Genomic DNA, 16,662 nt, shown 5'->3' with positions numbered 1-16,662 from the left:
TAAATCATGCTGCTATAAAGACACATGCACACGTATGTTTACTGCGGCACTATTCACAACAGCAAAGACTTGGAACCAACCCAAATGTTCAACAATGATAGACTGGATTAAGAAAATGTGGCACATATACACCATGGAATACTATGCAGCCATAAAAAATGATGAGTTCATGTCCTTTGTAGGGACATGGATGAAGTTGGAAACCATTATTCTCAGCAAACTATTGCAAGCACAAAAAACCAAACACCACATGTTCTCACTCACAGGTGGGAACTGAACAATGAGAACACACGGACACAGCAAGGGGAATATCACACACCGGGGCCTGTTGTGGGGTGGGGGAAGTCGTGGGGGAGGGATAGCATTAGGAGATATACCTAATGCTAAATGACGAGTTAATGGGTGCAGCACACCAGCATGGCACATGTATACATATGTAACAAACCACCATGTTGTGCACAGGTACCCTAAAACTTAAAGTATAAAAAAAAAAAAAAAAGGAATGGCTTTATAATTTGAGCACATAGAATATTTCAGGTTAGTGAATAAAACAACTAGTCCCATTAAACAAGATTTCATCTTTGAAAGACATTACTAAAAAAAAGAAAAGTCACAATCTGGAAGATTTTGAAGAAGTACAATTTGCGTTGCAAGAAAATATTCAGAACACATGTATCTGACAAAGAATTTGTATCCAAACTACTTAAAGAAGTTTTACTGCTCAAATAATGAAAAGACAAACAGCCAGTTAATACCAGTCAAAGGCTTTAACAGACACTTCACAAAAAAACAGTGTACAAATGGCAAATACATAAAATGATTATTATTAATTAGGGTAATAAAAATTACAGCTACCATGAAGTACCATTACACACCACTAGAATGGCTAAAGTTTAAGTTTGATAATACTAAGGATTAGCAAAGATATGGAGCAAATGGAATTCTCTCACGTTGCTATTGAGACTACAAAACGGAAAGGTCACCTTGAGGAACTGTTTAGTTTCTCATGAAGTTAAATATATACTTAGTATATGACACAGTAATTACACTTTTATTTGTTTACCGTCCAAAAATAAAAACACATATCCACAGAAAGCTCTGTACAAAATATTCCTAGCTTTATGTTTTTATGTGTATATAAAATATTTATAGCTTGATTTCTGTAATAATGACCCCCAACTGGAAAAAATCCAAATACAGAGTATGTGTTGATGTATCCATATAACGTATATTTCTACTCAGCCAATAAAAAGGAATAAATAACTAAAACACACAACGTGAATTAACATCAAAAACACTCAAGCAAACAAAGGCAGGCAAAGTGAGTATGTGCTGTATGGCTCCATTTAGTTAAATTCTGCAAGTGACAAATTAATCTAGAGTGGCAGAGTAAAGATCAGAGGAACGCTTAAGCCCTGGCATGTGGTGGTGGCGGTGGTGGTGTGTGTATGTGTGTGTATACGTGTGAAGGGGCTGTTATATGGGTGGGGGAGTGGGGAGCTATTTTGAATGAGAACAGGAATAAAGGGAAATTTGAGGAATAATGGCAATTTTCTATAGTTTGGTTGAGTGGTTATCCATGACATACATTTGTCAAAACTCAAACTAATAAAAGGTCTGTGTTCCATTTTATGTAAGTTATATCTGAAACATTATTTTAAGAAGAAAAATTTTTAAAAAATTAAGAGACATATTGACACTCACTGACACCAAATTTGACTTCATTGGTGTGGCCTCAATCTGACCATGTTCCAGTCTACACGTGAACTATGTTGTTTTTTTAAATATATGGGGGAATACATTTCCACAATGGAAAAGAACTTTTCTCCAGAATGAAAGAAGTTACTTGGGTACCAAAATATCATCTTTAAAAAATTATAATAAAAATCTGAAACAATATAAATGCAAAAAGGACTAGCAAATGCAGGGACAGAGTAAAATTTGTTTATTTGGAGATTGGGTCATGAGACTGGATTCCCCTATCAACTCCCTTCAGTTTCTAAGGGAATTGCAGAAGAATCCCCTTGTACTCCTGGCAGGGGAAGGGAAAAAGAAACCATTTTGAAATATAGCAAAGCATTCTGTTCTTCTTAACAAGGTCTGCCCTTAGGAGAACGATTTAGCCAGAGGCTAACCTACCGGGGTTTTATCAGCCCCTAACTGACCTGGGAGAGAGGAAATACACAAAAGCAGCCTTCTGTAGTTTTCCATGTGGGGGAAGCAAAAAACAGAACTTTAACCCGCTCTAGCTATCCTGCCTCACCTAAGTGGGGTGTGGGGGCGGGGTGAGGGGATCCGAGATGCACATTAAGTTCACAGTTCGGAGGTGCATACTCATTAAAAGATTGAGACATAACCATAGCACTACAGAGCAGTCCCTCTCCCTGACCTTACCACCATGATAATAAAGGCTTCTTTATAGCACTTTCTTTTATCAGTACACCATGTCTCATTATCAAGAAAAAATTATAAGACATTTTGAAAGGCAAAAAACAGTTTGAGAACAGAGAGAGCAAGCATCAGAACCAGACTTGGCAGAGAATGCTGAAATTATGACACTTAAAATTAAGACAACTATGAATAATATAAGTGCTCTAATGGATAAAGTAGACAGAATGTGAAAACAGATGGGAAATGTAAGTAAGCAAGGAAATGGACATTTTAAGAAAGTAGCAAAAAATAAATGCTACAGATAAAAAACATGAAGACATGGAAAATATACACAGATGAATAAGGAGTAAGGAGATTGAATCAGTAATCAAAAACCTCTCAACAACAACAACAAAAAGCCTAAAACCAGATGGCTTCCTGGTGAATTCTACCAAACAGTTATAGAAGAATGAATGCCACACTTTCTCAACTCTTCCAGATGATTGAGGAGGAGGAACACTTCCATACTCATTTTATGAGACCAGTTTTACTCTGATACCAAAGCCAGACAAGAACAATGTAAGAAAATTACAAGCCAATATCCCTGATGAACACAGATACAAAAATCCTCAACACTAGCAAATCAAATGCCATTGAACATTAAAAGAATCACACGCCACAATTAAGTGAGATTCATGCCTGGAATGCAAAGATAGTGCAACATAAATAAATGTGATAATGTAATTTCTAATAGACACAGAAATGGCATTTGAACAAAATTCAAGACTTTCTTAACAGTGGCTGAACATAATAGGTAGAGAAGGCAAGTACCTCAACATAATAAGGTCCATATATGACAAGCCCACAGCTAACATAATAGTCAATGGTAAAAAACTGAAATCATTTCCTGTAATATTAGGAGGAAGACAAAGTTGCCCAGTCTTACCAGTTCTATTCAACATACTGGAAGTCCTTGCCAGAGAAATTAGTCAAGAAAAAATGGAATCCAAATCAGAAAGGAAGAAGCAAAGTTATTTCTGTTTGTACAAGACATAATCCTATATATAGAAACCTCTAAAGAGTTTGCCAAGCACTGTTAAATCTAATCCATGACTTTAGCAAAACTGCAGGATACACAACCAATATATGAAAATCAGATGTGTTTCTATACACTAACAACAAACAATTTGTAAAGGAAATTATGAAAACAACGCCATTTAAAGAGCATTCGAAAGAATAAAATAAAAATAAATTTAAACACGGAAGTGAGACTTGTACAATGAAAACTAAAGAACAATGATCAAATAAATTGAAGACACAAATAGATAGATATATGTGTTCATGGATTGGAAGAATATAGGTAAAATATCCATACTAATCAAAGTGATCTATAGAGACAATGCTATCCCTATCAAATTCTAATGACTTAAAAAATGTGATTAAAAAAAGAAATAGAAAAAACAATTCCAAAATTCATAGGGAACCACAATAGACCAAGAATAGCCAAAGTGATCTTGAGAAATAAACAAATCTGGAGCCATCACACATCCTGATTTCAAAAATATATTACAAAGCCACAGTAATTAAAACAATACGGTTCTGGCACAAAGACTGATACATATACCAGTGGAGTAAAATAAAGAGCCCAGAAATATTCTTAGACATGTATCACTTCACCTTTAACCAAAGATTACAATAATTACAATGGGGAAAGGACAGTCAACAATAATTACAATGGGGAAAGGACAGTCTCTTTAGTAACTGGTGTACAAAAATCTGGATAATCAGATGCAAAAAGAATAAAATTGGCTCTCTGTTTGTCTGTTATTGGTGTATAAGAATGCTTGTGATTTTTGCACATTGGTTTTGTAGCCTGAGATTTTGCTGAAGTTGCTTATCAGCTTAAGGAGATTTTGGGCTGAGACAATGGGGTTTTCTAGATATACAAGCATGTCATCTGCAAACAGGGACAATTTGACTGCCTCTTTTCCTAATTGAATGCCCTTTATTTCCTTCTCCTGCCTGATTGCCCTGGCCAGAACTTCCAACACTATGTTGAATAGGAGTGGTGAGAGAGGGCATCCCTGTCTTGTGCCAGTTTGCAAAGGGAATGCTTCCAGTTTTTGCCCATTCAGTACGATATTGGCTGTGGGTCTGTCATAGACAGCTCTTATTATTTTGAGATACATCCCATCAATACTTAATTTATTGAGAGTTTTTAACATGAAGGGTTGTTGAACTTTGTCAAAGGCCTTTTCTGCATCTATTGAGATAATCATGTAGTTTTTGTCTTTGGTTCTGTTTATACGCTGGATTACGTTTATTGATTTGTTTATGTTGAACCAGCCTTGCCTCTCAGGGATGAAGCCCACTTGATCATGGTGGATAAGCTTTTTGATGTGCTGCTGGATTCCGTTTGCCAGTATTTTATTGAGGATTTTTGCATCAATGTTCATCAAGGGTATTGGTCTAAAATTCTCTTTTTTTTGTTGTGTCTCTGCCAGGCTTTGGTACCAGGATGATGCTGGCCTCATAAAATGAATTAGGGAGGATTCCCTCTTTTTCTATTGATTGGAATAGTTTCAGAAGGAAAGGTACCAGCTCCTCCTTGTACCTCCAGTAGAATTCGGCTGTGAATCCATCTGGTCCTGGATTTTTTTTGGTTGGTGGGCTATTATTGCCTCAATTTCAGAGGCTGTTATTGGTCTATTCAGAGATTCAACTTCTTCCTGGTTTAGTCTTGGGACGGTGTATGTGTCCAGGAATTTATCCATTTCTTCTAGATTTTCTAGTTTATTTGCATAGAGGTGTTTATAGTATTCTCTGATGGTAGTTTGTATTTCTGTGGGATCGGTGGTGATATCCCCTTTGTCATTTTTTATTGCATCTATTTGATTCTTCTCTCTTTTCTCCCATTCACAATTCCTTCAAAGAGAATAAAATACCTAAGAATCCACCTTACAAGGGATGTGAAGGACCTCTTCAAGGAGAACTACAAACCACTGCTCAATGAAATAAAAGAGGATACAAACAAATGGAAGAACAGTCCATGTTCATGGGTAGGAAGAATCAATATCATGAAAAAAAAATGGCCATACTGCACAAGGTAATTTATAGATTCAATGCCATCCCCATCAAGCTACCAGTGACTTTCTTCACAGAATTGGAAAAAACTACTTTGAAGTTCATATGGAACCAAAAAAGAGCCCGCATTGCCAAGTCAATCCTAAGCCAAAAGAACAAAGCTGGAGGCATCACATTACCTGACTTCAAACTATACTACAAGGCTACAGTAACCAAAACAGCATGGTACTGGTACCAAAACAGAGATATAGATCAATGGAACAGAACAGAGCCCTCAGAAATAATGCTGCATATCTGCAACTATCTGATCTTTGACACACCTGACAAAAAGAAGAAATGGGGAAAGGATTCCCTATTTAATAAATGGTGCTGGGAAAACTGGCTAGCCATATGTAGAAAGCTGAAACTGGATCCCTTCCTTACACCTTATACAAAAATTAATTCAACATGGATTAAAGACTTACATGTTAGACCTAAAGCCATAAAAACCCTAGAAGAAAACCTAGGCATTACCATTCAGGACATAGGCATGGGCAAGGACTTCATGTCTACAACACCAAAGCAATGGCAACAGAAGTCAAAATTGACAAATGGGATGTAATTAAACTAAAGAGCTTCTGCACAGCAAAAGCAACCACCATCAGAGTGAACAGGCAACCTACAGAATGGGAGAAATTTTTTGCAACCTACTCATCTGACAAAGGGCTAATATCCAGAATCTACAATGAACTCAAACAAATTTACAAGAAAAAAACAAACAACCCCATCAAAAAGTGGGCAAAGGATATGAACAGACACTTCTCAAAAGACGACATTTATGCAGCCAAAAGACACATGAAAAAATGCTCATCATCACTGGCCATCACAGAAATGCAAATCAAAACCACAATGAGATATCATCTCACACCAGTTAGAATGGCGATCATTACAAAGTCAGGAAACAACAGGTGCTGGAGATGATGTGGAGAAATAGGAACACTTTTACACTGTTGGTGGGATTGTAAACTAGTTCAGCCATTGTGGAAGTCGGTGTGGCGATTCCTCAGGGATCTAGAACTAGAAATACCATTTGACCCAGCCATCCCATTACTGGGTATATACCCAAAGGACTATAAATCATGCTGCTATAAAGACACATGCACACGTATGTTTATTGCGGCACTATTCACAATAGCAAAGACTTGGAACCAACCCAAATGTCCAACAATGATAGACTGGATTAAGAAAATGTGGCACATATGCACCATGGAATACTATGCAGCCATAAAAAAGGATGAGTTCATGTCCTTTGTAGGGACATCGATGAAGCTGGAACCCATCATTCTCAGCGAAGTATCGTGAGGACAAAAAACCAAACACCACATGTTCTCACTCATAGGTGGGAATTGAACAATGAGAACACATGGACACAGGAAGGGGACGATCACACACTGGCGACTGTTGTGGGGTGGGGGGAGGGGGGCGGGATAGCATTAGGGGATATACCTAATGCTAAATGACGAGTTAATGGGTGCAGCACACCAACATGGCACATGTATACATATGTAACAAACCAGCACGTTGTGCACATGTACCCTAAAACTTAAAAGTATAATAATAAAAAAAAAATTTAAAAAAAGAATAAAATTGCATCCTTATCTCATACTGTATGCAAAAATCAACTCACAATGGAATAAAGACTTAAATGGAAAACTTGAAACTGTACAACTACCAGAAGAAAACAGGGGAAAAGCTTCTTGACATTGGTGTTGTCAAAGATTTTTTGAGTATGACAACAAAGCACAGGCAACAAAAGTAACAATACACAAGTGTGGCTGTTAGCAGTGGTAGTTACCCATATGAGGCTGCAGCAACCTCAATTCTTGCCTCCTCAGAACAAAGAATTTGACTGAGGGGCATAAGGTGAGACCAAGGCAAGTTTTAGAGAAGAAGTGAAAGTTTATTAAAAATCTTTACAGCGGGAATGAAAGGAAGGAAAGTACATTTGGAAGAAGGCCAACCAGGCGACTTGAGAGACCAAGTGCGTGGCTTGACCTGTCAAGTTGGGGTTTTATACGTTGGCATACTTCTGGCATCTGGTGTTAGCTCTCTACACCCCTGAGATCTTACTGGGATGCTGCTCATTACCAGTTTCTGGTGTTTTCTATTGGAGACTGCCTTTCCCTGGTGCCAGCTATGACCATTTATTATTCTAGAGAGGCAGTTAACAGCTGCTTGTCCATCACCTGATGGCTGCCTGACACTCCTGGTGTGTGCGTGTGTGGGAGCCCTCTCCTGCCCTGCTCATACCTGACCAGCTACCTCCTGTAACAGGATTATATTAAACTAAACTAAAAAAAAAAAAAAGGAAAAACCTTCTGCACCGTTAGACAATATTCAACAGAATGAAAATATAATCTGTAGAATGAAATAAAGTATTTGTAAACTATGTATCTCATAAGGGGTTAATTTCCAAAGTATGTAAGAAACTCTTACAAATCAATGGCAAAAAAAAAACAAACACCAAACAACAAACAAAAACTAATTTAAAAATGGGTAAAAGACTTAAACATTTCTTCAATGTAGACGTACAAATGCCAACCAGGTATATGAAAATACCCTCAACATCACTAATGCTCAGGGAAATGCAAATGAAAGCTACAATTATCTTTTCCCTCACACCTGTTAGGATGGCTAATAGTGTATTTGAAAGGATGTAGAAAATGTGGAACCCTTGTACAATGCTGGTGGGAATATATGATGGTGTAGTAGCTATGGCATACAGTACAGAAGTTCCTCAAAAGGTAAAAATAAAATAGAACTACCTTATTATCTAGCAATCCCACTTCTGAGTATATGTCCAAAAGAATTAAAATCAGGATCTTGGAGAGATAGCTTCACCCATGTTCATTACAACATTCATGAAGCTAAGTTATGGAAACAACCCAAGTGTCCATTGACAGAAGAATGGGGAAATAACATATAATGCAGTATTTATTATTCAGTCTTGAAAAAGAAAGAAATCCTGTCCTTTGTGACAAGGTGTATGAACCTGGAGGACATTATGCTTAGTGAAATAAGCCAGTCACAGAAGGACAAATATAGTAGACTTCCACTTACATGAGGTATCTATAACAGTCAAACTCATGGAAGCAAAGAATACAATAAAGAATACAATAATGGGATTTGGGGAAACTGGGGAATTTTTAATGGGCATCAAGTTTCACTTATGCTAGATGAATAAGTTCTAGAAATCAGCTGTCTAACGTAGTGCCTATAGTTAACAATATGGTATTTTGGACTTCAAAATTTGTTAAGAGGGTAGATTTTATGTTAGGTGTTCTTTTCACAGAGAAACAAGAACAAAAACAAACGAATACAAGGAAACTGAGAGGTTGTGGACATGACTGTTACCTTGATTGTGATGATGGGATAACAAATGTTTGCATATCAAACTCATCAAATGTACACTTTAAATATATGCAGCTCTCTGTCAATTACACCTAAATACAGCTGTTAAAAATAAAGGAATATATTTTACTATTTTATTTGATCTTTTATTTTCATTTTATTATTTTTTAGAGGCAGAGCCTCAATCTGTTGTCCAGGCTTGAGTACAATGGCACAATAATGGCTCACTGCAGCCTTGAACTCCTGGGCTCAAGCGATCCTCTCACCTTGGCCTCCCAAAGTGTTGAGATTATAGGCATGAGCTACCACACTTGTCCTATTTTTCTATTTTAATTATGAGTTTGACATAGGATACATTGATTATATTTGTGGTAGGGTCTAAGTCATCAGGCCGCTTGGAATAACCCCTGTTTTTCACAGGGATGGTTAACTAGTGCAGAAATTTCTAGCCATGAGATCAAAGCCATGAGAGATTTGTTAATAAAACGTAGAGAATAATATAATCTTTGGCTCTGGTCCATTGGTCCTCGGCATACTGCCTCTCTAACTTCATGCCCTGGTGGCTCAGACTCGGCCACACTTTGAACTTACATACAAACTTCTGTTTCCCAAAGCTTTCCCACAGTGCCAGAACAAAGGGTTTTTCAGGCAACATACATATTGTACTTGAAAAACCATCTCTCTTGCCTTCTGCATCTTCTTATACCCCAATAAAGAAATCTTTCTCTCTCTCGGTCCAGAAGTCTTCCCTTAATTTTCATCATAGGATTATGGCACTTCTTTCAGGAGGAAATGTCACTTTGTTGCATATCCATCTGTCTCTATCAATACGAAACAGTCTGCCAAAGCATTCTTAAGGGCGAAAAAGAATCACACAACTGTGGAGGTTGGCAACACAACCAATTTATAGTTTCCAACTTCAACTGGGCCCTGAATAGTGCTTTGTCATTTTTTCCACTGTTTCCTTTTAACATTTCTTATTGAAAATGGAAAACTTGACTACTTCATTTAATCTCCCATCCCCTTGCTTGCAAGACATTACCTTTCATTGTAATCACACTTTTCCTTTGCCTACCTCTGCAAAGCTTACTCAATCCTAAAGAGATGTCAGTTTTTATCTCATTCCTAGGATTCTTCCTGACCTTCATAAGCAGAGTTGAGCACTTCCATCCTTATGCAAATAGCACATTTTAAAGACCTTTGTAATATACAATGCCATCACCGATATAATTCTTTTGTACATGTCTGCCCATTCCCTAATGCTAGCAATTGTGGAGGGCACTAACGAGTTTTCTTTTTTTTTTTTTGAGACAGAGTCTCGCTCTGTCACCCAGGCTGGAATACAGTGGTGCTACCTCGGCTCACTGCAACCTCTGCCTCCCGGTTCAAGTGATTCTTCTCCCTCAGCCTCCCAAGTAGCCGGGCCCACAGGCATGTGCCACCACGCCTGGCTAATTTTTTGTATTTTTAGTAGAGACGGGGTTTCACCGTGTTAGCCAGGATAGTCTCGATCTCCTGACCTCGTGATCCATCCACCTCGGCCTCCCAGAGTGCTGGGATTACAGGCGTAAGCCACCGCATCCAGCCACTAACGATTTTTTAATCAACTTTAACATCCGTAAGGCTCATGATGGTAGTTCTGGGTCTGCTGCGGTGGGCAGATGTCATTTTTGTTTGCCCAGAAACGTTAATCTCAGAAACCACATCTATCCCTTTTCCTATTAGTTTTGTGAGTTATTAGTCAGTGTGTCCTATTTTTTCCTCCCTCCCTCTAGACATAGTCCAGATTTTGTTAGTCATGTCCTATTTTGAGATGGATAAATACTGGGAGGGGAATAACAACGCTCCAGGTTGTTCTAGAGTTGCTGAGGGGCGGTGATACACTCCTGAGACAGCCAGGGACCACCTTCTCTGATTGTATAAAGTATGAATGCCACTTTGGGAGGCCAAGGGGGCAGATCACAAGGTCAAGAGATAGACACTATCCTGGCTAACATGGTGAAACCCCCTCTATACTAAAAATACAAAACTTTGCTGAGTGGTGGCGTGTGCCTGTAGTCCCAGCTACTTGGAAGGCTGAGGCAGGAGAATCGTTTGAACCCAGGAGGTAGAGGTTGCAGTGAGCCAAGATAGCACCAGTGCACTCCAGCATGGGCAACAAGAGCAAAACTCCTTCTCAAAAAAAAAAAAAAAAAAAAAAAAAAAAAAAAAAAAAACAAAGCAAAACAGTATGAATGCTGTAAGAGAAAAAACGAAGACTTTCCTGGAAACATCCTGGTCAATAAGCCCCACACAACAGGGGTAATCCCGCCTTCTCTCAATAGAGAAACAAACTGAGCCTTCTAGTCCTTCCTGTATTATGAGGGCTCCAGACAGCGAGACAGGTTTATGGATATCAGGACAATTTCCATTTACCTCAGACTTACTTCTTCAGAATGAGAGTAAAGGTAAACCTCTGACTTGTCCTTCACTTGGAGAAAGCCCACTCTCCCCGCTTTAGGAGGATCAAGAGAGAACCAGGGCAAGGATGTGCACTTCTAGTAATGGTGAGCAGGTATTTCAAACCTCCTCATCTGCTAAGGACAACTAGAAAAATCGAGTAAGAATTAAATCAAACTGGCAGCTAACAAGAAATTGAAAAATTACTGGGCCAAATCCAGAAGACGGAAATCGAAAGAATACAATTTTGAACTTAAAGATGCTGTTCCCCTGGGTGCATTTCCTGATTCCCAAAGAGGCTGAACTTACGACAGACTTATGGAACGCACTAGGTAGAAAAATCTAGGAGACAGTATCCGAAAAGTAAGGTTGACCTTGACATTCAGAATGAGGGTACATAGTCCAACTCACTTTAAATTGATCAAACCAAATCCTACAAAGACACTTCAAAAAAGGATACAGAGAAACAGCTCTCATTATCATAGATGCAGAAATATTAGCAAATCAAATCCCGCATATGGATCTATGTGTGTCTGTACCATGTATGCACTGAACCTGTGCTTGTACATGTGCAAATGAACAGATTCTAAAATGTAGTGAAAATGGAAAGGTCCAACATTATAAGAAACTAAGAAACACTTTTTTCTTAAAAAAAACTTTTAACATTTCCACCTCATGTTTTGATAGAAATTTCTATATATTTACTAAGTCAAGAAATAAAAATTGTATATATTTATCATTTACAACATGCAGTTTTGAAATATAAATACACTGTGGCATAGGTAAATTAAGTGAATTAATACTGGGTGGACGCAGTGGCTCATACCTGTAATCCCAGCACTTTGGGAGGCCGAGTTGGGTGGATCACTAGAGCCCAGGAGTTTGTGACCAGCCTGTACAACATGGCAAAACCCCATCTCTACAAAAAATACAAAAATTAGCTGGGTTTGGTGGTGGGTGCCTGTAGTCTTAATTACCTGGGAGGCTGAGGTGGGGCGCCTGGGGGAATTGAAGCTACAGTGACCTTTGATCATATCACTGTACCCCAGCCTGGGTGACAGAGTGAGACCCTGTCACAAAATCAACCAACCAACCAACCAATCAACCAATCAACCAAAAACTAGATGCATTACTATACTTTTTTATTGTTGTTTTTGTGGTGAAGGCAGTTAAAATCTACCGTCTTAGCAAATGTTATGAATATAACACATTGTTATCAACTATAGTCACCTTATTGTACACTAGAGCTCTTGAACTTATATCTTCTAACTAATATTTTGCATCCTTTGACCATCTCTTCCATTACCCTGCCACCTACTCTGCCGGTCCCCATTCTTGAAGAACAAGGAGTAATCTCTCTAGTAGGTAAGAAGACGTGTTATAAAGTGATAGAAATGGATACCATGTGGTATTAGGTTAAACAACAGAATGGAACATAATGTAATAGAATAGGATAAAACAGAATAAACCAACAGAAGTGCTGAGAAATTTGTTTACTTACTACTTCATATCATAAACTCACACAAGAATAGTAACATGAGATTAATTTAGTCAGTACATAAAAAACCATAGTATCTGTAAACTTTTCATTGATTATAATTTGAATTTATTTGCAAAATTTAGAAAAGAGCTATTTTGGGCAGAGTGGGGGTATAAGAGTATCAGAAAGATGGGTAAAGAAAAGAATCTAGAGACAGTTAAAGTGCAATGTAGTTTGGAACTCAAGAAAGGAAAGGAACAATAAGTATAATTAGTACATTATGATGCTCCCAGAGAAGACACTGGCTCCTAGAGAAGACAGTGGCAGTGATTTTTTAAAAGAAAACAATTGAATTCAAGATGCATTCAACAAATAATTATTACATTCCATTTTAAGAAAACATAAAATCAGACTAGTTTAAATTGAATTTTTTTACAACATGACTAGGCACGTGTCATCCTATACCATATATGCCACATTAGGTCTATGATCCAGGGTCTCAGATGACGTGGAGACCTCATTTTCTTTCTCTTTCAGCTCTATTTCATTCATGCATGAATAGGCACCTTTAACATTCAGTATCTGTTATATATTTTTTCCCACTGTCCCATTAGTGGACAAAACGCAAAAATTCCCTTCTGTTTGGGGCTTTCATTCTAGCTGGGAAATAGAGACAATAACAAATAACTAAAACAAATAAATTTTACAGTGTTTCAGATGGCAATAAGTGATAAAAAGGTAGAATGGGGCAAAGGGGACTAGACTAGGAATGCAGTTTAGTGTCTTTAATAAGATGGTGTTGCCTTTTTGAACAAAGACTTGATGAGTGAAGAGGTTGGCAAATGAAGGTGTCTGAAGGAGTGTTGCAGCAAGAGAGAGTTACTACCGTAAGGGCTCAAAGGTAGTGTCTCCTGTGTTCTTGGCAGAATAAATTCAGAGTAGTAGAAATTCAATTAGAAAGGTAATAGAGTCGGATGTGATAGGGCCTGGTAGGCCATGGTGAGGAGTTTGGCTTTTACTTTGAATGAGATGAGGGGGATGTTGCAGGGGCAGAGGGGTTACAAGATCTAACTTTAAGGAAGTTAACTATAAGGAAGTTAACTATAAGGAAGAATATGAATGGAATACTCTGGGGAAGAACTGCAGAATCAGTAGCTCAGTTTTGGATGTATTAATTTGGACATGACTATGTTACATTCTAGCAGAGGTAGTGAGTAGGCAGTTGGATATATAAGTGCAGAGTTCAAGACAGAAGTCTTGGGAAGAGATAAAAAATTAGTGTCACTTGCATATAAAGGGTGTTAAATCAAAGACACTAGATTAAATCACCAAGGAATTGTGTGTTGTTAAAGAGTAGAAGATTAAAGACTGAGACAGGTCACTTTAAAGTTAGGAGTCTAGGGAGAAGCGAATCAACATAAAAGACTGAGAACAAGTGACCTATGAGCTAAGACAAAGGAGCGTGGGGTGAGGCCAAGTGAAGAAAGTGCATCACTGAAGAGACAGGGAACACCACTGTGAAACTGTGCCGTTACAAGAAGCTGCTGGTAACCTCCAGAGAGGTACTTTGTAGGAGTGGGAAAGAGAATCATGATTAAAGATGGTTTGAGAGAGAAGGGAGGAATTCAGGTAAAGAGGAAAATAATAATCTTCAGAGGAATTTTTGCAGAAACTGGAGGCAGACAAAAATGGTACTGTTAGGGGAAATGACTTCACAAGTTTTGTTTCATACAGAAGCAGATTCCACACAACTTTTTTTTTTTCTTTATGAGACAGAGTCTCACTCTGTCACCCAGGCTGGAGTGCAGTGGCATGATCTCGGCTCACTGTAACCTCCACTTCCCAGGTTCAAGTGATTTTCCTGCCTCAGCCTCCAAGTAGCTGAGACTACAGGTGCCTGCCACCATGCCCGGCTAATTTTTTTTTATTTTTAGTAGAGACGAGGTTTCCCCATGTTGGCCAGGCTGGTCTCCAGCTTCTGACCTCAAGTGATCTGCCTGCCTTGGCCTCCCAAAGTGCTGGGATTACAGGCATGAACCATCGTACCTGGCCACATAGAACTCTTATTTAATGTGACCTTTATAAAAGCCAATGATATGTCACCAAAATATAACTCTCTAAAGGTGAATTCTCAAAGGCCACCACAATACTCCATAAAGTGTGTATGCATAAGCTTTGTTATAGTGTTTTTGGCATCATTACATCAAAAATAATATATTTATTTCCTGCTATCCACAGATACATATAATGGGATCAAAAATTCATTCAATGAATGAATTCATTGAAATATATTGTCCTTTACTCACTGATTTCAATTAAATATGTGGAATGCTTTGGGGAATCTAAGAATAAAGATTTATAAAAGACAATTCAAATACTCAGAAAAATACAGATGTTCTCAATATGTTTATAATGCATTGTATGAAGTAATCTTTACCCCCACTGTTCTTACCATACAATGGGCTGAGAAATAGCTAATATTAAACACCTACCCTTATTTTACAAATTAGGAAACTGAGACTTAGTTTATGCCAAAGACAAGCTGTATAAAGTCATAGAGATACTCTTGTCTTCTTTCTAAAACTCTCAGTTAAATTTTAAATGTAAGGGATGAACACCTTTGACATTTGTGTTTGCATTATTTAATTGAATTCACTGCTTGCTTAGTGTTTTTTTCACACACGTATAACCGTAGACTGAAAACTTTTTAAAAGGAGGAATTTTATTGCTGTTTTTCTTAAACTTGCCACATCAAATTTGGCACATGTGTTCCACAAATGTTTGCTAAATTTATGAATAAACATTCTAAAATATTATGATTGCTGGCGCCTCAAAGAAGCAAAGACTAAAAATCAGAAGATAACTGACTTCAGCAATAAGATATACTGAACTCAAATGTCTTTCTAGACATTGATTGCACGGAAAGTTATGCAACAGCTGAAGTACTGCAATAGCTCATTCTTTCCTGTCACCTGTTTTTCTCTCTAATTAAAACACTGTGACACTTGACAATTGGTGAAAGTATTTTTAATCTCTATTCTTGCCAAATCTTTTATCGTGGAACAGAAGACTTTTTTCTCCCTTCTCACAGTTACATTCAGGTTCTTTATTCGCAGAGATGAGACAAAATGGACTTCTTTACACAGCAAGGTCAAAGGGGTTACTTGGAGAGAGGGAAATGTATCATTGTAATATGGTGCCCACATGAAATTTGGCTGCAAGATACTTTTAACCTTTAATTCTTTTTTTCTTTTTTCCTTAAGAGAGAGGGTCTTGCACTGTTGCTCAGGCTGGAGTGCAGTGTTTGATCATGGCTCACTGCAGCCTCAACCTCCAGGGCTCATGTGATCCTCCTATCTCAGCTTCTGAAGTAGCTAGGACTACAGGCATGTGCCACCATGCCCAGCTAAGTTTTAAATTTTTTGTAAAGATAAGGTGTGGCTATGTTGCCCAGGCTGGTCTTGAACTGCTGACTTCAAGCAATCCTCCTGCCTTGGCCTCCCAAAATGCTGAGGTTACAGGCATGAGCCACTGTGCCTGGCCTAATCTTTAATTCTTAATTTTAACTCTTAGGTATTGACAAAAACAGCATTGAGCTCTTCGTCTTAACCTTGTTGACTTCAATTTCATCTGACCGATTACTCTCCTCCTATTTCACATTCTTCCTCCTTGTCTTTTGCTGCCGATTTTATAACTTTTGTTTTCTGATATAAAATCTTTCAACTTCTAATTTTTTCGCTCTCTAGCTATTAATAGTTTTTCTTGACAGCCCTGTGGGATTAATGACAGTTTTGTAAAATAAACGTTTCACAAGTAGCAGTAGTTTGAGAAATACTGTTTGAAGTAAATACTTGTAAAGACCTAAAACTTTCAGAGTTTCTGGCAGATAAAAAATGATT

The 16,662-nt window shown here is 37.9% G+C and overlaps 1 protein-coding gene and 1 long non-coding RNA gene across 5 annotated transcripts in view; one reads left to right on the top strand and one right to left on the bottom strand.

The window, feature by feature from the left end:
- Positions 1-16,662, top strand: part of LOC124902059 (uncharacterized) — a 59,776-nt gene that overhangs the window by 10,019 nt on the left and 33,095 nt on the right. The gene's annotated exons all lie outside the window — the stretch shown is intronic.
- TUSC3 (tumor suppressor candidate 3) overlaps positions 1-16,662 on the bottom strand; it is a 434,904-nt gene that overhangs the window by 417,062 nt on the left and 1,180 nt on the right. The window contains exon 2 of one of the 4 annotated variants that reach the window (NM_001413670.1): positions 12,110-12,202. The exons of the other annotated variants lie outside the window; for them this stretch is intronic. Within the exon in view, the coding sequence (NP_001400599.1) occupies positions 12,110-12,187 (78 nt within the window). The 5' untranslated portion in view covers positions 12,188-12,202. The remainder of the gene's footprint in view (positions 1-12,109; positions 12,203-16,662) is intronic. 4 annotated transcript variants of the gene reach the window in all.

This window comes from Homo sapiens, chromosome 8, assembly GCF_000001405.40.
Source record: "Homo sapiens chromosome 8, GRCh38.p14 Primary Assembly".
Classification (NCBI taxonomy): domain Eukaryota; kingdom Metazoa; phylum Chordata; class Mammalia; order Primates; family Hominidae; genus Homo; species Homo sapiens.
This window is presented reverse-complemented; position numbering and strand designations above follow the sequence as displayed.